Raw genomic sequence first — 21,060 nt, 5'->3', positions numbered from 1 at the left:
GTCACAAACAGAATCACTTGAGCTGCAAGGAAAAACTTAAACCACTTCTGTTTGGTGTTTTTAACTCTTCATTGGCTAATTTCTTTTTTATTTATTTATTTATTTTTGAGATGGAGTCTTGCTCTGTCGCCCAGGGCTGGAGTGCAATGGCACCATCTCAGCTCACTGCAACCTCCGCCTCCCGGACTCAAGTGATACTCAGCCTCCCAAGTAGCTGGGATTACAGGCATGTGCCACCATGACCTGCTAATTTTTTTTTTTTTTTTTTTTTTTTAGACGGAGTTTCACTCTCGTTGCCCAGGCTGTAGTGCAACGGCACAATCTTGGCTCACTGCAACCTCCACCTCCCAGGTTCAAGTGATTCTCCTGCCTCAGCCTCCCTAGTAGCTGGGATTACAGGCATGTGCCACCACGCCCAGCTAATTTTGTATTCTTAGTAGAGATGGGGTTTCTCCATGTTGGTCAGGCTGGTCTCTAACTCCTGACCTCAGGTGATCTGCCCACCTCGGCCTCCCAAAGTGCTGGGATTACAGGCATGAGCCACCGCACTCGGCTAATTTTTGTATTTTTTTTTAGTAGAGGAGGAGTTTTGCCATGTTGGCCAGACTGGTCTCCAATGTCTAACCTCAGGTAATCCACCCACCTCGGCCTCCCACAGTACTGGGATTATAGGCATGAGCCACTGCATCCAGCCTCCTTGGCTAATTTCTTTTACAGTTTCTTTTCTTTTTTTTTTTTTTTTTACTAAATGGGGGAAAAAATAGTACTCAAGAAGACTGAATAGGTAGCATATAATCTATCCTGCTTCAAATCCATCACTGCAGTTGGCTCATTTTCTTCATCTGTAACAGGGAATAATAATGGTACATAATTCAAGGGTTTGAGCATTCAACTAAGATGCATAAAGTGCATAGCACAGTGCCTTGCACATAATAAATGGTCATTAAATGATAGCTATTTTTGTATTATTATTCTTTAGCACAAAATTAAATCCTAAATGTCTTACTCCCTCCAAAAGGGATTAAATTATGATTTAATTTTATGATTTAATTTGTGGGGACATGCTCTGAAACTGGCATAATGAAAATGGTGCCTTCACAGTGGAGAAAGTTGGAGGAGAAGATTAAAATTAAGTCAACAATAGTGTGATGGGTTGGCATTGTGCACTTCCTGATAGAGCACATGGAGAGCACCCAGCATCATTTTTGTGTAATTCCTGCCAAACCTCATGTTGAAATTTGATCCCCAATGTTGGAGGTGGGTCCCAATGGGAGGTGCTTAGGTCATAGGGGTGGATCCTTCATGAATGGCTTGATGAAGTTCTTGCAATAGTGAATTTTCACTCTACCAGTCCCTACCAGAACTGGTTGTTAAAGAGAGCCTGGCACCTCCCTCCCCTCTGTCTTGCTTCCTCTCTGGCCATGTGATCTCTGTACACTCAGGCTCCCCTTCTCCTTCTGCCATGAGGGGAAGCAGCTTGAGGCCCTTACCAGAAGCAGATAAGCTTCTTGTACAGCCTGTAGAACCATAAGCCAAATAAATCTTTCTTTATAAATTACCCAGCTTTGGGTATTCCTTTTAGCAACACAAACAAACAAGATAGTTTCTCTAAGGATAAGTCTATCAAAGCAGCATAAATAGCCATCCCAAACAAGTATGGCGTTTGTTCTATTGGTTTCTGTGTGGCACCCATGCTAAGGAAATAAAAATGTCTTGTGTGAACAGGTTTCCAAACTACTGCCAAAAATTTTCTTTTGACCTCTTGCTGTGACAAACTGCATTAATGCACTTGTTCATAAAGAGCCACCTTTACATTCCTGTAGTAAAGCTGACTTGGTCATAATGTAGTATTCTTTTAATATACTACTGAATTGAATACTAACACTAAAATTTATATGGGATGTATGCCTCTATGTTCTTAAATGTGTAATCATTGTATTGAACAGTCTGAAGTCAGCAGGGCGTAAACATAAGATGGTTTTGTGGGGTTTTTTGTCCAATTGCTTATCTTCAGACAAATTCTTCCAAATCTCTTCTTCCTGACCCATAATGACATTTGAACAAATCTTATGGATTTGTGGTCACTTTCAATTAACAAAAAGTCCAGGCCAACCTATTACCAGTTTAAAACTTCAGTTACAGCATCAGCAGTACTGTGTCCAAGTGCAAGGATGTCAAGAATGTTTCCTTATCCAAAACTTCCAGGAAGAATTTAGAGCTCAGACAGAACCCCACAGAAGCTCCTTCACAAATGTGCAGAGGATGCAAATAAGTGCCTTTGCTTGCTCTCCGTGGTCAGCATGAGTTTACAGCAGGAATAAGGGCATTCAGAACACCTGGAAGCAATAGACGTCCTTTCGAAAGAACAAGATGATGGTGGCCTCAGGCAGAGAAGCCTGTCTGCTGAGTACAAAGACCATGTGCACCAGTCTAATAACAGTCAAGGGAAGACATTGGTCTCTAGTTTACCAACCACCTAAGGAGGAAGTGAGTGAAATTATCTGAAATGAACCATGCCAAGCCTGGGTACAAAGCAAGATTCTTCATGAGCCTGGACTTGGAGGTCTCTATAGCTATTCCTCCACTCCATGGAGCTACACTCAGCCTGCTCACCCCCATCAAGAGCAGTGTGAAAGGAATGAACTACTGATACACACTGCAAAATGGATAATCCTTGAAAATATGATGTGCGGTAAAAGGAGCCAGTCACGAGTGACAATATACTGTATAATTCCATTCTTATAAAAGTCCAGAATGGGGTCTCTAGAGAAACAGGAAGTAGATTTCTGCTTGCTTATGGCTGGGGGGCAGTGGTTGGAGGATAGAGGAGTAATAGCTAAAAGGTACAGGATTTCTTTCTTTTGAGATAATGAAAATATTCTAAAATTGACTATGATGATGGTTGCACACACCTGTGAATGTACTAAAAAACCATTGAATTGTACATACTGTTAAATGGGTGGATTATATGGTTTGGACATGGTTTGTTTGGCCTCACTAAATCTCATGTTGAAATGTGATCCCCAGTGTTGGAGGTGGGGCCAAGAGGAAGGTGTTTGGCTTGGTGCCATTCTCACAGCAGTGAGTTCTCACTCTTAGTTCCCATGAAAACTGGTTGTTGAGAAGAGACTGGCCCCTCCTTCTCTTTCACCATATAAGTCTGCATGCTAGCTTCCCTTCCTCCCCTTCTGCCATGAGTGGAAGCAGCCTGAGTCCCTTGCCAGAAGCAGATGCTGGTGCCATACTTCCTATACAATCTGCAGAACCATATGCCAAATAAACCTCTTGCCTCTTTAAATTATCCAGCCTCAGGTATGTCTTTATAGCAATGCAAATGGGCTAAGACATGTGTTATGCAAATTATATCTTAATAAAGCGATTTTTTTTTAAAAAAGAGAGACAGAGAAAGAGATGTGGAGATTCTGCCAACCAATGACAAAGTGTGCAAGAAAAACAACATGTTAAGGCATGGTAGGCCCATGTCCTGCAGCTCTTTAGGTCTGAGATGTCTGAATTCAAAAGGACCATCCGATTCATGCAGCAGGCACAGCTGGGGAGGTATGAATCAATGGGTAATGAGGCAAGAGGCACATACACATCCTCAGAGGCAAGAGGAAAGGGATGATGAATACTGGGGTACTCAGGCCTGTGAGCAACCCCCACCCAGGTCACAGAACTCCTCTTCCTGCCCTCTCCTCTCTGGGAAATACTTATTTGCTTCTGGCCTGGGGATAAGGAAGGGAGACAGGAAGGACTGACTTTCTACAAAAATTTTAAAACCGTATCTGCAGTTGACTCCCTGTGGGCAGCAAAAGGGACTTTTCTTAGAAAAAGACTCTTTGAAGTTGTGCTTTCCTCCAGATTTCTAACATTCAGAGCTTCTTTCCAGCTCTGGCTACTGTGACAGGCCCCTAGCCAGAGCAGTTTCTCTGCACTGGGAGTGAGCACCAGAAACCACCAGCACTGGGATTTCATTTCTTTGCCCCTAGTTGGAATACAGACTTCTGAGGGACATGTGCTCCCTGTCCACCCTCACCTTCGCCCACTGGGAGGAGGCCTGCGTCCTACTTATGCATAAGCCCCATGAATGTCAACTGAAAGAGAAGAGCATTTAGCCAAGGGAGGAGGAAAGCCACTGCTGAGGTGCAGCGTGAGCAGGATGGTCAGTGATGTGTCAATGACCAACAGTGATCTGGAAGTTGTAGTCCTCCCTTGAGGGTGACTCAGATGGTCTTTGCGTATATTGTTCCATCTAGAAGCATTGAGAAAACAGCTCCTTCTGTGCCTGTCTCCCTTTTTCTATCACATTCAGCAGAGGGAGGGCCATTCAGGCCCCTGTTGAGAGGCCAGGCTGGCTTTCAGGATGGGGGAGATCCCCAGGGAAGGGTACAGTTACCCCTGAGGCTTCCACCAGCCTTTTGTTCTGCTCCCCCTCACCAAGTCCCCAGGAAGCACAGGTCCCCTAGGTCTCTCAGGTGTGAGCTACCAAGTCAAGTGCCTGCTTTATCCAGACAGGCAATGCCAGAGAAGAGCTGCTTCACCATCTCTGTCTCAACAGCAATGATGACAGGGATGGACTCTCTGACTCCAGGGGTGCCATCCCTAAAGAACAGGCAGCTACAGCAGCCACCTGGCCACAACAATGGAAGGGAGAGGTGGCCAAGGGTGGGAGAAAGCTTTTGCCATCTTGAGCCATGAGAGCAAAGGGGAAACAGATGGTTCATCCATGAATAACCAGGTCAAAGACTCCACAGCAGCAGACTCAGTGATCCCTACTCAGAAGCTAAGAATTCTGTTCCAGCAGGTTCATGCTAGACTTGCCCAGGGTGAGCACATGACCTGGAAACCCTGTAAACCCTGTAAAGAGAAGCATCAGATTTCATTATCTAGAAACCTCCATTACATTGTGACCAGGGAAGTCACACACACACACACACACACACACACACACACGCATGTGCACGCACGCTGCTCCCCAAGATTGACATCATTTGGTTAGTTTAGTTAGACCCTACTTTGTCCAGAAATAAGTCAAGGAGCCTCCAAACACTAGCTATGTGGCTAAAAGCCTGTGCTCTGTTCTCAGGCCATGTCGTCTTGTCATGGCACAGAGCTGAGTTTGATGCCCAGTCCTGTCACACAGCAGCTGTGTAGACTCGATTCTGTGCTTCACCACACCGAGCCCCAAGCTCCCGCTCCCCTTTGTAGGATGGTTACAGAGATGGGAAACTATGTAAAGCAATTAGCAATAATGGGAGCTGTTTTTGTTTAATAAAATACTTCAGTCGCATTTCCCAATGCTGCTCCCGCAGCCCCCAGCTCGGTCCTGGGAGCAGTGAAGGGAGGGAGGGACTTTTTCTGCTGCTGAGAAAATCTCTTCCTTGTCCCCCTTCATTTTCAAGGCTCAAGCCCCTAGTGCCAGTGTCACTTTATGTAACTGGATAGCTCTTGGGAGTGAGGAGCACCCAGTGAAGTGAGGAGCACTCACTTTGGCTTAGTCCATTCTGTCTGTAGCTAATGGTTCCACTGATTGGCCCCTGTGGTAAGGGCAAGGTACTGGCTTTGTTTGGTGTAGTGTTTAGCTCTGCTCTGGGAGACAGTCCCATCTCCCTGCTGGCCCAGCAGCCATTCATGCCTGCCATTCCCCTGGTTGTTTGGGGCACCCACTTGTCTGGCCTAGCCACTTGGGCACCCCCAGAGCCTCCGTTCCTCCTGCACTTCACCTGTTCCTTCACATAGAGTACGGGGGGCCCTTTCTGCACACCCTGAAGGCCTTAGCCATCTGGGAGGGCAGCCCCCACATCCAAGTCTTCCAGGCATAGTACACCAAAGTCCTCACCCTCTCTCTCAGCACAGGCTGCCCAGCAGTCTCCAGCCCTCAGGAATCCTCAGGTGAAGCAGGCACTGTTCTCTATGTTCACAGCTGCTATGGGCTGAATTGTGCTGCCTCGAAATTCATCTGTTGAAGTCCTAATCCCCAGAATGTGACTGTATTTGGAGACGTGGTCTTTTAAGAGGTGATTAAGGTTGAGTGAGTTCACTGGGGTGGGCTCCAATTCAGCCTGACTGGTGTCCTCATAAGAAGAAATTAGGTCCCAAGAAGCATAGAGCAAAGACAATGTGCACACAGAGGTAGAAGGCAGCCACCTACAAGCCACAGAGAGAGGCTCAGAAGAACCTAATCCTATTGTGACTTGGACCTTGGAATTATAACCTTCAGAACTGTAAGAAAATTAGAAAAAAGAAAATTCTATCCTTTAAGCCACGCAGTCTATGGTATGTGTCATGGCATCTCTAGGAAACGGATGGATACAGCAACCACCCCACACCTGCCCCAAACTCCTGGGGACGCCTGCCAGACTGCCCAAGGGATCTCCCTCCACACTGCCATCATCTCAGCCCCTCTTCTTGGGGTCAGGCTCCAGATTTCACAGCTCAACCAATACCCAACCAGCAAATAGGATCTAAGACTTCCTTCAGCCTCCCCAAGTCTCTAGGAAGGATCCTCTGTGGTCCTGGCTTGCCCAGTGGGGAGCACACCCTCCCCTCAGTCCCTGATCCAGATTTCTGTCAAGTACCTTCTCCCTCTCAGTCCTCTGTCTGGAGCTGGGGAGGTTGCTGGAATGAGGAGGAGGTGGAAGGAGCCTGTGCAGCCAGCTCCTAAGAAATCCGGATGTAGGTGCCTGGGCCTCTGATGCTTTTGGGCTTTCTTTACAAGTGGCTGTGCTGGTTAATTTTATGTAACAACTTGGCTGGGCCGTGGTGCCCAGATATTTGGCAGAACATTATTCTAGATGTTTCTGTGAAGGTGTTTTTTGGATGAGATTAACATTTAAATCCATGGACTTTGAGTAAAGCGGGTTACCCTCTGTAATGGAGATGGGCTTCATCCAATCTGTCGAAGGCCTGAATAAAGATAATATAAAAGATAAAATAATAGACTGACCTCCCCTGAGCAAAAAGGAATTCTGTCAGCAAACTGCCTTCGCACTGGAACCACAACTCTTCCCTGAGTCTCAGCCTGCCAGCACACCTTGCAGATTTTGGACTTCCAAACCTCTACAATCCATGAGCCAAGTCCTTGAAACAACTCTCTCCATATACATATACACATATCCTGTTTGTTCTGTTTCACTGGAGAGCTCAAACTGGTCCAGTGGCTTTCTTTAGATCTACTGCTTTGGGTGTCAATTACTCATTCTGAGGCAATTGAAAAATTCCCACTCACTTCCTGCCACAAGTGAAATTGGATTATAGTTTTCTGGGATCTCATCCTCAGGTTTTTGGTGTAAAGTTATGCTATTTTCAAAAAATACGATCATACACATTTTGTACTTTCCCCAGAAAGTTATCTATTTCCTAAAGATTTAAAATAATCCACCCATAAAACCACTTCCTTTTCTGAATGCAACTCTTTAATAACTTTCTTGGTTTCTTCAGATCTATTATGATTTGGCTACATTTTGCCAATTTATTTGCCATTTATGTTTTCTTATATTACTCATTTTGACCATTTTTATACATTCTTTTCTCATTAAAAAATTTTATGTGTCTGTATGCACATTTCTTCTTTATTATTCTCTATGTTAAATTTTTGATTTTTCTTTTTTTATTAAACTTGTTGGAGCTCTTCCTCTCTCTCTTCCCTTCTATTCCTCCAAAAGCCAGTAGCTATGGCCAAGAAAGGTCAGTGTCTGCAGAGGTGAGGGAGAGCCTTGGTAACCGGAAGCAGGCTGTCAGAGCCCAGGTGGAGCACCAAGGGCATTGTGCAGGGGTGCTGCCAGGCACAGAGTGCAGAGCCTGAGCGTGGGGTGAGAATATTGGTTCAGGGGCGGAGGCGTGCAAACAGCATGAGGCATCAGAGAATAAGAGGAAAACATTCAAGAGGGGATGCCCAGCATAGGGTGTCAGAATCCAGCAGGATGAAGAAGGCTTCCAGGTGGGAAAGGCAGACTGGTGCTCAGATGTTGTGAGGAGGGCATCTGCACAGGGAAGAAGGTGCAGTTGGAGGTTGATTACATAAAGGGAATTGATCAAATAAGTAAATAGGCAGTCAGCCCTCTGTATTCATGGGTTCTGCATCCATGGGTTCAACCAACTGGATCAAAAATATTCAGGGAAAAAAAAATTACAATAATTAAAAAATAAATTAAAAGACAATACAGTATAACAGGTATTTACATAGCATTTGCATTGTATTCAATATTATAAGTAAGCTAGAGATGACTGAAGGCATATGAGAAGATGTGCATAGGTTCTACGTAAATATTATACCATATTAGATAAGGAACTTGAACATCCGTGGGGGGTCCTGGAACCAATACCCCACAAATACTGAGGGATGACTGTATTAGGGATAATGTGAATGATATTTCTCACTTTCAGGGAAGGGAGTTATAACATGTAGAAAATAAGAGAACTAGAATGAATCCAGTGATATTGGACTAGAATTGGGGCTGTTGGTGTGAGCTCACTGATTTCAAAATATGGAGACAGATATAGAAATATAGATGTAAATGTATATATATATATATATATATATATATATATATATATATATATGGGGATATATGTATACACACATCTTCAGAGGAAGAGCATAAAACTACAATGGAGAATCCTGGCAAACAGCAGGCTTATCAACTTAATGTCCACTGAAAGGGCCTGGGGTAGTGATACCCCAGTAGCAATGAGCACACCTAGTGTTCAGGTCTTGGCTTCTAAATAACATTCTCCATTAAAAGGAACAAGAGTTCCCTGGAGAAATGGCTGACTCCAGAGTTTAGATAGAGAAAGTGCAAGATATCCTGGAATATACTATCATTCTAGAAAGCAAGGTAGCTTAAAGAATGATAGAAACATGTCAAAATGAATCAGCTTAAAGGGGCTACCAAACACCAAATCAGAGGCAATTTGGGCACTAAGATAAATAGTGATAGTAACAAACGATAACTTATTGAATAGAACAGGAAATCATAAGACTATCTGACATAAATAAATGAATAAAAGTTTAATGAAGCATGGGATACACACTCTCAAAATATCTCTTCACGAAGTACTTATTAATTACATAGAGGAAAAGAGTAAAACTATAATGAAGAACCCTGGCAGATACAAGGTTTGTTTATCAACTTAGGTTATCAACATGAACATTATGAGCAATGGGATGAATCAGCATCCTGAGCCACCTGCAAGATTGCAATGAGAAGGTCACAGAAGCATCACTTCTGTGTTGTTCCTAGTTAAGACACATAACTTGAATCTAACTTTAAGGAAAGTCAGACAGGCCCAAATTAAAGGATATTAAACAAAATAAATGGGTTGTAATCTTCAAAAGTGTCAATGTCATGAGAGTCAAAGAAAGATGAAGAAAGTGTTCCAAAGTGAAGGAGTCTGTAGAGACAAGAAGCTAATCACTAAAGGCAACACATCATTCTGAACTGATTCTTTTTGATGTAAAGAACATTATTGGGACATTTGGCATAAGGAATATTATTGGGACATTTGGCAAAATGCAAATAAAATCTGAGGATTAGATGGTAATAAACTATTGATGAAAATTTCCTGATTTCAGTGGGTATGGAGGACTAGTAGGGAGGGTCTGCTCCTCACAATCCCCTCAGTTCTACCCTGTGCTTCCTCTCTCTTGCTGGGGCAAAGAGAGGGAAGATGGAAAAGGGAAAATGTCTCTTACTTAATTAGGCAAGCTTGTTATTTTTTTCCTAGATAATGATAATGAGGTGTGTATGTATGTGTATATGTGTTTTATATATTTTGATGCTATGTTACTTATTGCATAAAGATTTATAATTGTTATATATTCAAAATAACTGTACCCTTTATTGAAATAAAAGCTCTTTAAGGCCAGGGTATGGTGTCTCATGCCTGCAATCCCAGCACTTTGGGAGATAAAGGCAGAAAGATTGCTTGAGGCTAGGAGTTGGAGACCAGCCCGAGCAACATAGCGAGAACCTCATCGCTTAAAAATAAATAAATAAATAAATAAATAAATAAATAAATAAATAATAAAACCTCTTTGTTGCATTGAATCTGTTTGGTTTTGAATCCTGCTTAGCCTGAAATTAATATTAGGGCTCCTGCTGTCTTTATGTTTGTATGTGCTTGATGTAACCTTGCCTGTCATTTACTTTCATATATATTTTTTATTGGGGGAAAATATACCATTTTAACCATTTTTAGGCCTACAATTCAGTGGCATTAATTACATTCACAGTGTTCTGCAACTATTACAACTATTTCAAAAACTTCATTCTCCCAAACAGAAGCTCTAACCATTAAGCAATAGCTCCTCATTTCCCCTCTCTCCAGCCTCTGGTCATTTCTAATTACTTTCTGTCTGTGAATTTGCCTATTCTAGGCACCTCAGTATCCGTCCTTTTGTGTCTGACTTACTTCATTTCACTTAGCCTGTCTTCAAGGTTCATCTGTGTTTTAGCATGTATCACAACTTCATTCCTTTTCGTGGCTGAATAATATTCTCTAGTACATATATAACACATTTTGTTTACTCAGCAACCTGCTGATGAACACTTGGATCACTTCCACCTTTTGTCTACTGTGAATAATGCAGCAATGAACATTGATGTACGAGTATTTGTTTGAGTCCCTGCTTTCAATAGCTTTGGGTACACACCTAGGAGAGGAATTGCTGGATCCTATTTGCTTTTTGCATTACTGTTTTACTTTATTTTGAAAGCCTCTCTTATAGGAAGCATACAATTTGAGAGTTTTTGTCATAAAATAAAGGAATATAGCCCATTTACACTCATTGTTGAAATAGATTATTAGTATTATATCTATTACCCAAAAATTATTTTAATGCTTTCTTGCTTCTTCCAGTGCTTGCTGTTTGGTATGGTGACCACGTATTCTTGGCATTTTATCTTTTCCTCTGTGTGTGCATGTGTGTATACATATTGCATATGTTATATAATTATATACTATTTATTGTAATTCATTTTATATTATGTGTATTTATACATGGCACATTATCTGTCTAGAATTCTACAAATAGTTATTTTAACTTTTCTTTTTCTTTTTTTTTGAGATGGAGTCTCGCTCTGTTGCCCAGGCTGGAGTGCAGCGGCGCAATCTCGGCTCACTGCAAGCTCCGCCTCCTGGGTTCACGCCATTCTCCTGCCTTAGCCTCCCGAGTAGCTGGAACTACAGGTGCCCGCCACCGCGCCTGGCTAATTTTTTGTACTTTTAGTAGAAATGGGGTTTCACCGTGTTAGCCAGGATGGTCTCAATCTCCTGATCTCATGATCTACCCGCCTTGGCCTCCCGAAGTGCTGGGATTACAGGCGTGAGCCACCACACCCGGCCAGTTATTTTAACTTTTCAAAAGTATTCTTTAACTCACAAATTTTTTCTAACTATTAATCAAGAGTACATCAATACTTCCCAAGTTCTCTTTGCTTCTTCTTGAGAATATTTCTAACTTTTCAAATTTTGAGCCACTTTTTAAATTCTTTAGACTTTTCTCTGTTTAGCAGGCATTTGCACCCTGTCATTTCATTTCATGGCTTCCCTATTCTTGATTCTTAAATGTGTTTCATCTCTTGACAATTTTAAATACTTCTCAGAGTTCCTTATTTAAAAAGGGCTCAGTGTGGCATATTTCTTAAACCCTTGCATATTTGAAGGTATCTTTCCTAAGACTTCAAACACTGTAAGTACCTTGGCTGGACATCAAATTACTGAATCACAATCTTTTTCTCTGTTCTTCTGAAAACTCTGTAGACGTTCTTTATCCAAATTGAGGGCACTAAGAGCTTGAAGCCAGTCTGATTTTCCTTCCTCAGTAGATTTCCTCTTTATTCTGTGTATATACTTGTAGGCTTTTAAAAATCCTGATTCTTCAAACATTTTTGCAGGGTGTCTAGCTAGAGGTCCATTTCCAGCCATTTTGTCCTGGGATATATCAATCTCTAGTGAGCTACACACTCAGGGTGTGCATGGTGGTCCCTTATCTGTTGGATGATGGCTTCTCTCTGGTCTCACCCCTCAGGATCACCAAATGTCTGCTTGGTGCTTCTGTGCTCCCTGGTCTCCATATATATAAACTTTCCTCCTGCCTTTTTAATTTCTGTATCTTTTTCTCTGCATTTTTGATGAGATTTCTCGACCTTGACCTCTACAGCACTGATTTAATATTTTACGGTACCAATTCTGTTCTTTAATCTCACCCAGGGATTAGCGGTGGGTTTTCATTCTGTGATTACATTTTTAGTTTCTCTGACAGTGTTTCCTTTTCTTATCAATTCCCTTTTCATTTAATCTTTTTTTTAAAAAAAAAATCTCATTCTGTGGCTTTTTAAAGAATGCCTGCCCTTCTCTTTATGGCTTTCTACCTTTATTTCATAGGGGCTATGTCTTCTGACATGCAGAGTAGGATGTTGAGTAAGATTTTCCCTTTAGATCAAGAACTGTTGTTAGGAGGACCCAAAATGAGGATGAAGGGCTGGGTGCCCAAGTTCTAGTTAAAGGGATGCAGCCTATGTAGACCCTCTGACTTGATCCTGTAAAGCCACCTTCTTGGGGGCTTTGGGCCATTCTTGGGGTTCCTGGACAGACAGCTGGGCCTGCATTTCTGAGAACGCTCCTACAGAACCACGACAAAGCATCAATTCCCAGCTGTCTCCCTTCCCTTGAAGCTGACAAAGGCAGAGTTTCCAGAGCCCAGGAGGTTTCTTTTGCAGCAAAAAAGCTCCAGGGCTCGACAGAGTCAACACTGTTCCCTGAGGGGAACTCGGTTTTTCACCAGCTTCTAACCAGAGCCAAGTCCTCCTTCAGTTTTTTCCCAGACTTCCTCCTTGCCTCAGCCTGGGAACAAAAGCATTTCAACAAATCCACAGGATCATGCTAATTGGCAAATAACTCAGGCTCTCGTGCCCTGAGGGGGTCGTAGGTCTGTTGGGCACTGCCAGGGGAAGAGGAAAACTGAGCACCTTAGCAAATGCAACAGCTCCTATATTTAATTGCATTTAAATATGTCCCCTCAAGGAGTCTGCAGGCCCTCAGGGGTACAGGAAGTTATGAGCTAAAACAATTTCTCCTAATTGCTGAACCAGACAACCCAAACAGAACCCTGGGTTTGAGATTCTCATACAGAAATCAGCTCATTCTAATTATTGGGTCAGCTAAGACTCCACCCTAGACCAGGGTCTCCCAAAGTGGCTTTCTCAAAGCACTATTTCTATAAAATGTTAATAGGTGTTTCTGAAAATAGGGTTCCAATTAAAATAAACTTGAGATATGCATAGTAAACAGAGTGGCAGGTTTCTTTCCTGCAGGACTTCTTGGCATCTGGCATGCTAATTGCCTATTATTCAGTCAATCATTGGGCATACACTGAGTATCTGCTGTGTGCCAAGCATTGTGGAAACAGAGATTCCCACATGGTCCATGTCTGCAAGCTTACGGTGAGTTTTATAATACCTTAGTACTCAGTACCGGCAACATCAGATGAAAACTTGTTAGACATGCAGGCTCTCCAGCCTTGCCTCCACACTTACTGAATCAGAATCTGCATTGTAACACACTTCCTGCATGATTAAAGTATGAAAAGCCCTGGAATAATGCATTGCTAGGAGAGAAAAGGAAGGAAAAAAGAATGGCTGAACTGGGAAGCCGGGAACTTTGCTATGGAACCCAGGTAAAACCATGGGCAACCAAACTGGGGAGGGGCACATTGTCCTCACTTCAGCTTAGACAGTGAGGCTCAAGCCAGGAGGACTGAGAAGAATGCAGTTCCATTTTGGCATCAATATTTGTTGAGGCAAGGTTCAACTTTGAGGAAAAGAATGTTAGAAATAAATTTTCAGTGCTGCAAAAGAAATAGCACTCGAACATAAATTTAATTTTCTCACCAAGGCAATTTTACTTCTAGAGAAGGGTGCAACTCATAGATGGAGCAATGGCAAGAGCACACCTGAACAAGGGAGGAGAAGGGGTTTTTATTCCTGATGCAGGTAGCCCTTACTGCTGTGTCGTTCCACTATTGGCTAGGGTTGGTCCGCACAGTTTAAGCTAATTCCGATTGGCTATTTTAAAGAGAGCAGGCATACGAGTCGGAGTGGCAGGGTGAGTAGTTTGGCAGGAGGGATGGTTACAGAACAGATGACTCAGGATGACTCAGGTCAGAGCAAGTGACCAGGGGTGAATCAGGACGGAGCAGGTTATACAGGCTAGTAGGAGGTAGTTTACTGAAACTAGGGGCAAGGAGACAAAGAGAACGAGGAAGTTAAACTTTAAAATGAAGAAAAAGAACAGGGGAGCTGTGTTAGATATAGTGAACTCCAAGTTTCTCTTCAAAGAATCAGTATGTCAGTATGGTCAGCTCTCTTATTCTTTGTTCTTCATTTTAAAGTTTAACTTCCTGGTTCTCTTCAATCTTTTGTCTCTAGTTTCAGTAAACAACTTTCCCACCAGTTCTAATCAGTAGTTCACATCTGTTCCCCTGGTCACCTGCTTTGACCTGAGTCACCCCTGGTCACCTGCTCCATCCTGACTCATCCTGAGTCACTTGTTCCGTAACCGTCCTTTCCGCCAAACTACTCACCCCACCACTCTGACTCATACCCTTGCTCTCTTTAAAATAGCCAATCAGAAATTAGCTTAGACTGTGTGATCCAACCCTAGCCAATAGGGGAACAATACAGCAGTAGGGGCTAGCTGCATCAGGAATAAAAACCCCTTCCCCTCCCTTGTTCAGGTGTGCTCTCGCGATTGCTCCATCTGCAAGTTGCACCCTTCTATAGAAGTAAAAATTGCCTTGCTGAGAAAATTAAATTTATGCTCGAGTGCTATTTCTTTTGTAGCATCAAAAATTTATTTATAACAGCTAAACATACTGATATATTGGTTCTTTGGAGAGGATCTCAGAACTCATTGTACTTAACAATTTACAGGCTAAAACCTTTGAAAAGGAATTTATTATATCCTACAAGAAAAACCCCAAATAATAGTCTCTTAAACAAGATAAAATGTTTACCCTTCTCTTACTTTCAAGAAGTCTAGCAGTTAGAAGTACTGGGCTGGTATGACATACTACAGGATCAAGGACCCATGTTTTTTCTATCTCATTACTATACCACGCATGGCTTCCATTTCCAAAGTCAACTCATGGTCCAAGATGGCTGCCAGATCTCCAGACATTACAGCTGCACTCTAGCAAGCAGAAAGTGAGGGAAAAGCCTGTTGTTTTTTTTTGTTTGTTTGTTTGTTTTTTTTGACAGAGTCTTGCTCTGTCACCAGGTTGGAGTGCAGTGGCGCAATCTCGGCTCACTGCAAATCTCCACCTCCTGGGTTCAAGCAATTCTCCTGCCTCAGCCTTCCAAGTAGCTGGAACTACAGGTGCGCACCATCATGCCCGGCTAATTTTTGTATTTTTAGTAGAGGCTGGGTTTCTCCACGTTGGCCAAGATGGTCTTGATCTCTTGACCTCATGATCCTCCCACCTCAGCCTCCCAAAGTGCTGGGATTACAGGCATGAGCCACTGCGCCCGGCCATCTTCCTGCTTTTAAAGGCACTTCCTTAACAATTATACACAATGTCTACTTATATCTCATTTGCTTCAACTTAATCACACAACCACACCTAGCTGCAAGGGAGGCTAGGGAATGTCCTCTTTATCCCAGGTGGCTATTCACCCAGTTAAAAATCAGAAGTCTGCTACTATAAGCCATAGCATCTTTCAGGATCATGTTTGGGAACACTAAGATATGTAACTGACAACCAAAATGAGTAACTGAGACAAAAGTCTCAATCACTGAGGGTTATTAAGCCAGCTTTAGGGTACATCTAGGAGAAAACATGAGCCACAGACACATTTGTGACTGTTTTTCCAAAGAGGTTTTCAGGAGGTTTAGGATTTATACATTTCCTTGAAGAGGGGGAAAGGCATGTAGGGTAGGCAGTAAGGTAAACAGTTACATTCTTGTGAGACTTCAGTTAGTGCCCAGTAAATCTACATTTTACATAAGATAAGGTGAATGTCTAAAGAAAAAAAGGAAGTAAAGGAAGAATCAATTATCCAGTCTCTGGGTAGGTAGAGGAAATGACTCTTGACTTTGTTCTGCACCTGGGAAGATAAGCTTGTAATAGACACTATCAGTGTGGAGTTTTAGGAGCTAGACTTAGATTGTTGACCCAGAGTTACAATTGGCATGTCCTTGTTTATAGAGGCCAGCAAAGAATTTACTTATGAATGATCTGTGGGGGCAGCCCTTTGCAGATGCCTGAGGCCTTTTACCTTCCTCTAGGGATGCATAAGTTTAGTAATAGTTACTCATTTGGAAGAGAGGGCTGCAAGGACTCAGCCTTCAGGCTTAAGCTTCCCTTTTACATAAGAAGTCTCATCCCTGTGTCTGCTGCTAATGTCACCTGTGGCAAAGTTGAGTCCTTGTCTTAAGTTATATAAAGGAAAATGAAAAATCTCATGACAGGCCAGGCACAGTGGTTCATGCCTGTAATCCCAGCACTTTGGGAGGCTGTGGTTGGTGGATCACTTGAGGTCAAAAGTTTGAGACCAGCCTGGACAACATGGTGAAATCCCGTCTCTACTAAAAATACAAAAATTAGCCAAGCACAGTGGCACACACCTGTAATACCAGCTACTTGGGAAGCTGAGGCTTGAGAATTGCTTGACCCGGGAAGTGGAGGTTGTAGTGAGCCAAGATCATGCCACTGCACTCTAGCCTGGGCAACAGAGCGAGACTCCACATCAAAAAAAAAAAAAAAAGAAGAAGAAGAAGAAGGAGAAGGAGAAGGAGAAGGAGAAGGAGGAGAAGGAGAAGAAGGAGAAGGAGAAGGAGGAGAAGGAGAAGAAGAAGAAGAGGAAGAGGAAGAAGAAGAAGAAGAAGTTGTTGTTGTTTGAGGAGTCCTGAGATTTTTTTTTTTTTTTTTTGAGACTGAGTCTTGCCCTGTCACCCAGGCTGGAGTACAATGGCACGATCTCAGCTCACTACAACCTCTGCCTCCTGGGTTCAAATGATTCTCCTGCTTCAGCCTCCCGAGTAGCTGGGACTACAGGCACCCGCCACCATACCTGGCTAATTTTTGTATTTCTAGTAGATACAGGGTTTCACCATATTGGCCAGGTGGGTCTCGAACTCCTGAACTTGTGATCTGCCTGCCTCGGCCTCCCAAAGCGTTGGGATTACAGGCATGAGCCACTGCACCTAGCCTGTCATGAGATTTTTTATTTTCCTTTATATAACTTTAGACAAGGACTCAACTTTGCCACAGATGACATTAGCAGCAGACACAGGGATGAGGCGCCTATTTCATGGGACCAAAGAGTACAGACATCAGCGGGTAGCCAGAGCTGGCAAACACAAGAAGACTGTGAGCATATGTGGGACCCTTTCATAGCACAACCTGGAGAGATTTTTGAGATGGCTGAAGATCTAGCAGATTTTAAGTTATTATTATTAATATAACCTCCTTTCTACCCACAGTGTGTGAGAACCAGGGAGTTCAAGGTTACACTTGTTTCCAGCATCAGAGGGAAAGAGACAGATGGCATGGTTCTGTCAGCTCTATTACTTTGGGAGTTGGATAGGGTCATCCCACTCAATGGTTCATCATTTCTCAACTTCCAAATAATGAGAATAACATTAAGTTCATGGGGAGAATTTTCTGAATTTAAATTTTGTATTTATATATTTTCCTTAAAACACTAGTGCTTGCAACTGCTTGCCTACTTTTGAGCAGAGGTTTTTTTTTTTAGTGAACAAATGGCAAATGGCAAAATAAATATTAATGGGAAACAGAAACAGAATAAAACTGCAACTTCAACAAGTCTGCAATGAACACCTGGTTGTTACTACATTTTGCACATGTAGAAGAGAGCCATGTTTCCTACAGGTAAAACTGTTTCTCACTCTCATTTGCAAGATGAACTTAGATGTGCTGAGATTTCCTGGTGGACTACAAAGGTACAATGATGTCCAGACACTCTGTCCCTGAAAGGAGTGGAGGTCCACTGCTCTAGAAAAAGGTTAAAGGCAGGCTCTGAAACTTGGGAGGCCAAATCAAATGGCCCTGCCATCTTCCATAGCCCAAGCCATGATGACCCCCACATCCCAGCAGTCACAAGCCCTGTTTGGGCCTCCCAAATGCCTCACTGTGCACCCCCTGCACTCTGAGAGGCTAGAAAACATAAGGCTAAGGGTATGGACCCTGGAGCTGGACTGCCTGGTGCAAATCTCATCTTGACTTAGTAGCTCTGCAACCTTGTACAAGTCTCCTAACTGCTCCATGTCTCAGTTTCTGCATCACTGAAATGGGAATAATAATAGCACTTATTGATGAGGGCTGTGAGTGAATGCACCTGAAGCACATGGCCATCTGAGTGTCGGCTCCTGTTACTGTCACCGCGGTTACTGCTTCTTAGACCAGGCCTCATGGAGGCCACTAGTGTTCTCCTCAGAGCCTTGGCCCAAACCACTGGACAGTGAGTACCCAAAGCCCTGAGCCCTTCACTCACCCATCCAAAACCTCCAGTGACTCCTTGAGAGCCACAGAATCGAGTAGAAACTTCAAATCATCCCATTCAATGCTCTTCACGATATGGAGATTGACAGGTGTTGAAGAAGGGAAGGAGGAAGGGGATCAAATAAAAGAACACAGGGAAGGAAGGAAAAGATTGACTAGGGTGCTGCATCATTGCTTCTGCTCATTGGCTACTGTCCTAAATGCGTGGTCAAGTTGGAAATCAATTGTTTGGTTAAGTTGGTCATCTTAGGAGTCTGTTCCCTCTGCGTTTCAAAACCTAGACTGTAATTGGGTTAATGTCAAGAATAACTTATCACTCTAAGATAGGCATTTGGGGATTTTTGTCTGTAACTGGCCAGGAGAATGTAGCTTTGTGGATCCCCTGGGTGTTCACGGCCCTTGACTGGTTGCACTATGAACAAGATCAACCTAACAGGACTTGGAGGTGGACATCTGCAGAATTCGCCTACACTTTCTCTTCTGGACAAATCAGAGACACCCAGTGGTACTGGGCCCATCCACTACCACCACCACCACCCCCGCCCCAGCCCAGCCCAGTTTCCTGAGGACTGTCCCAGTTGGAGCAGGGAAAGCCCTGCATTGCGGGAAATCCCTAAGTTCCACAACAGGATGGTTGGTCCCCGCAAGGACCTGGCATCAGTGAATTCAGTCTGGCTCTCAGGGACTCCACGTTTGCTCCAAGAAGATACAAAAAGAACCCAAATTCCTCAGGACTGTAGTTCTAGCAAGGGTTCACAGATGATTTGTTATCAGAGCTTCTGGGAAGCTACTGGCTTCTAACTAGGACCTTCAGTGTTGACTGAAGTTTGGGCATGTGTGGTCAGCCTGGAGCCTGAGTAGCTTCAGCTTTTGCTTCCACACCCTCATAGGCCTCACCGCAGACCAGCTACAGAATCTCTGAGGAAGGCCCCCAGGCAGCAGCGTTGTAAAATCTCACCAGGTGATTCCAACCCACAGCCAAGTTTGAGAGAGCCAGTGATCTGGAACAGGGGCTGCAAACTTTTTCTGTAAAGGACCAGAGAATGACAACTTTTGGCTTCATGGGCGATAGGGCCTCTGTCCTGACTGCTCAACTCTGCCATCATACGGCAAAGGTAGCCACAGACAGTACATGAACAAATGGGCATGGCTGTGTTCCAGGCAGAGCCAGCCTCATGGGCGTTCAGCCTGTGCAAGCAAAGGGCCCACACTTAAAAGGACCCCTGTGCCTAGCTTAGTTCTCTGCCGTTGCTGTCTTGACAGTCTTCATAATTTTTGAACAAAGGGTCTCACGTTTTCATATTGCACTGGGTTCCACAAATTCTGTAGCCAATCCTGGTTCCAATAAAACTCTGTTTACGAAAACAGACATTGGGTCACATTTGCCCCGTGGGCCACAGTTTGCCAACCAATCAGTGATCTAGAGCCTTGTGCCCAAAGTTCAGTCCACTCGGAGTTGGTATGGAGACCAGCAAAAGCAGCAGCAGCAGCTGGTGGCTTGTTAGAAACCCTGAGTCTCTCGGCCAGGCATGGTGGCTCACACCTGTAACCCCAGCATTTTGGGAGGCCAAGGTGCGAGGATCACTTGAGCTCAGGAGTTCGAGACCAGCCTGGGCAACATAGCAAGCTCTTGCCTCTACTAAAAATAAAAGTTAAAAATTAGCTGAGCATGGTGGTGTGTGCCCATAGTCCCAGCCTGCTCAGGAGGCTGAGGTGAGAGGATCATTTAAGCCCAGCAGTTTGAGGCTACAGTGAGCCGTGATCATGCCATTACACTTCAGTCTAGATGACAGAGTGAGGCCATGTCTCAAAATAACGACAAAAAAAATTAATCCCAAGTCTCACCCTAGGCCTGCTGAAACAGAGTCTGCAGTTTAGCAAGATCCCCAGATGATTCCTCTGCACAGCAAAGCTTGAGAAGCACTGCCCAAAGAAAGGGGTTTAAGAATGGGGTTGACCACAGAAATGAAGTGGGGGTGTTTTAGGCAGGCATTTTCTTAAAGCTGGCTCCTTGAAGCTCTGTGTGTGCGTGTATGCACATACCCATGTGTGTACAGGTATGTGGAAATAAACAAAGGTCTTGATTTGCTTGAAACAGAGCCAAACTAAACAAAAAGCTTTGTCCTCAATATAACCTGCACACCCATTCATCCATTCACTCATTTACGCACCACACACATTCTCACACACATGCAGTGGTTTACATTCACACGCAGGCACACGTTCACAGGCATACCCGCTCACTCACCTGCACATATACATTCTCACCACCATTGCTGCCCGCTGCAGGAAGCACAGAGGAAATGTGGTGAGGTGCTGGCAGGGCCAGCCCTGTTACGAGAGGAAAGAGGCATTCCCGGAGGGGATGCCAGCCCCCAGGCCTGGAGGGGAGGGTGCTGGGATCAGCAGTTTAGCATGAGTGGGCGGGGGGTGGGGGGGGTCAGAAGCAAAGACCAAAGGGACCATAGAGGCAGGAGGAGGGCAGAGCCGAGTGAGGGCAGCCTGAGCGCTCTGAAGGTCCTCAGGCCTGAACGTGA

General features: G+C 43.8%; 1 annotated feature.

The window, feature by feature from the left end:
* Window positions 13,883–15,082: an enhancer, noted in NCBI's record as "P300/CBP strongly-dependent group 1 enhancer chr9:38170544-38171743 (GRCh37/hg19 assembly coordinates)". NCBI's record gives its function as "activates an origin of replication core promoter dependent on BRD2, BRD4, P300/CBP, MED14 and CDK7 cofactors, with strong dependence on P300/CBP, by STARR-seq in HCT116 cells {active_cell/tissue: HCT116}" and the evidence as "EXISTENCE:reporter gene assay evidence [ECO:0000049][PMID:35650434]".

Source organism: Homo sapiens, chromosome 9, assembly GCF_000001405.40.
Source record: "Homo sapiens chromosome 9, GRCh38.p14 Primary Assembly".
NCBI classification, from domain to species: domain Eukaryota; kingdom Metazoa; phylum Chordata; class Mammalia; order Primates; family Hominidae; genus Homo; species Homo sapiens.
Note: the sequence above shows the minus strand (reverse complement) of the source record. Positions and strands in the feature narration are given on the sequence as shown.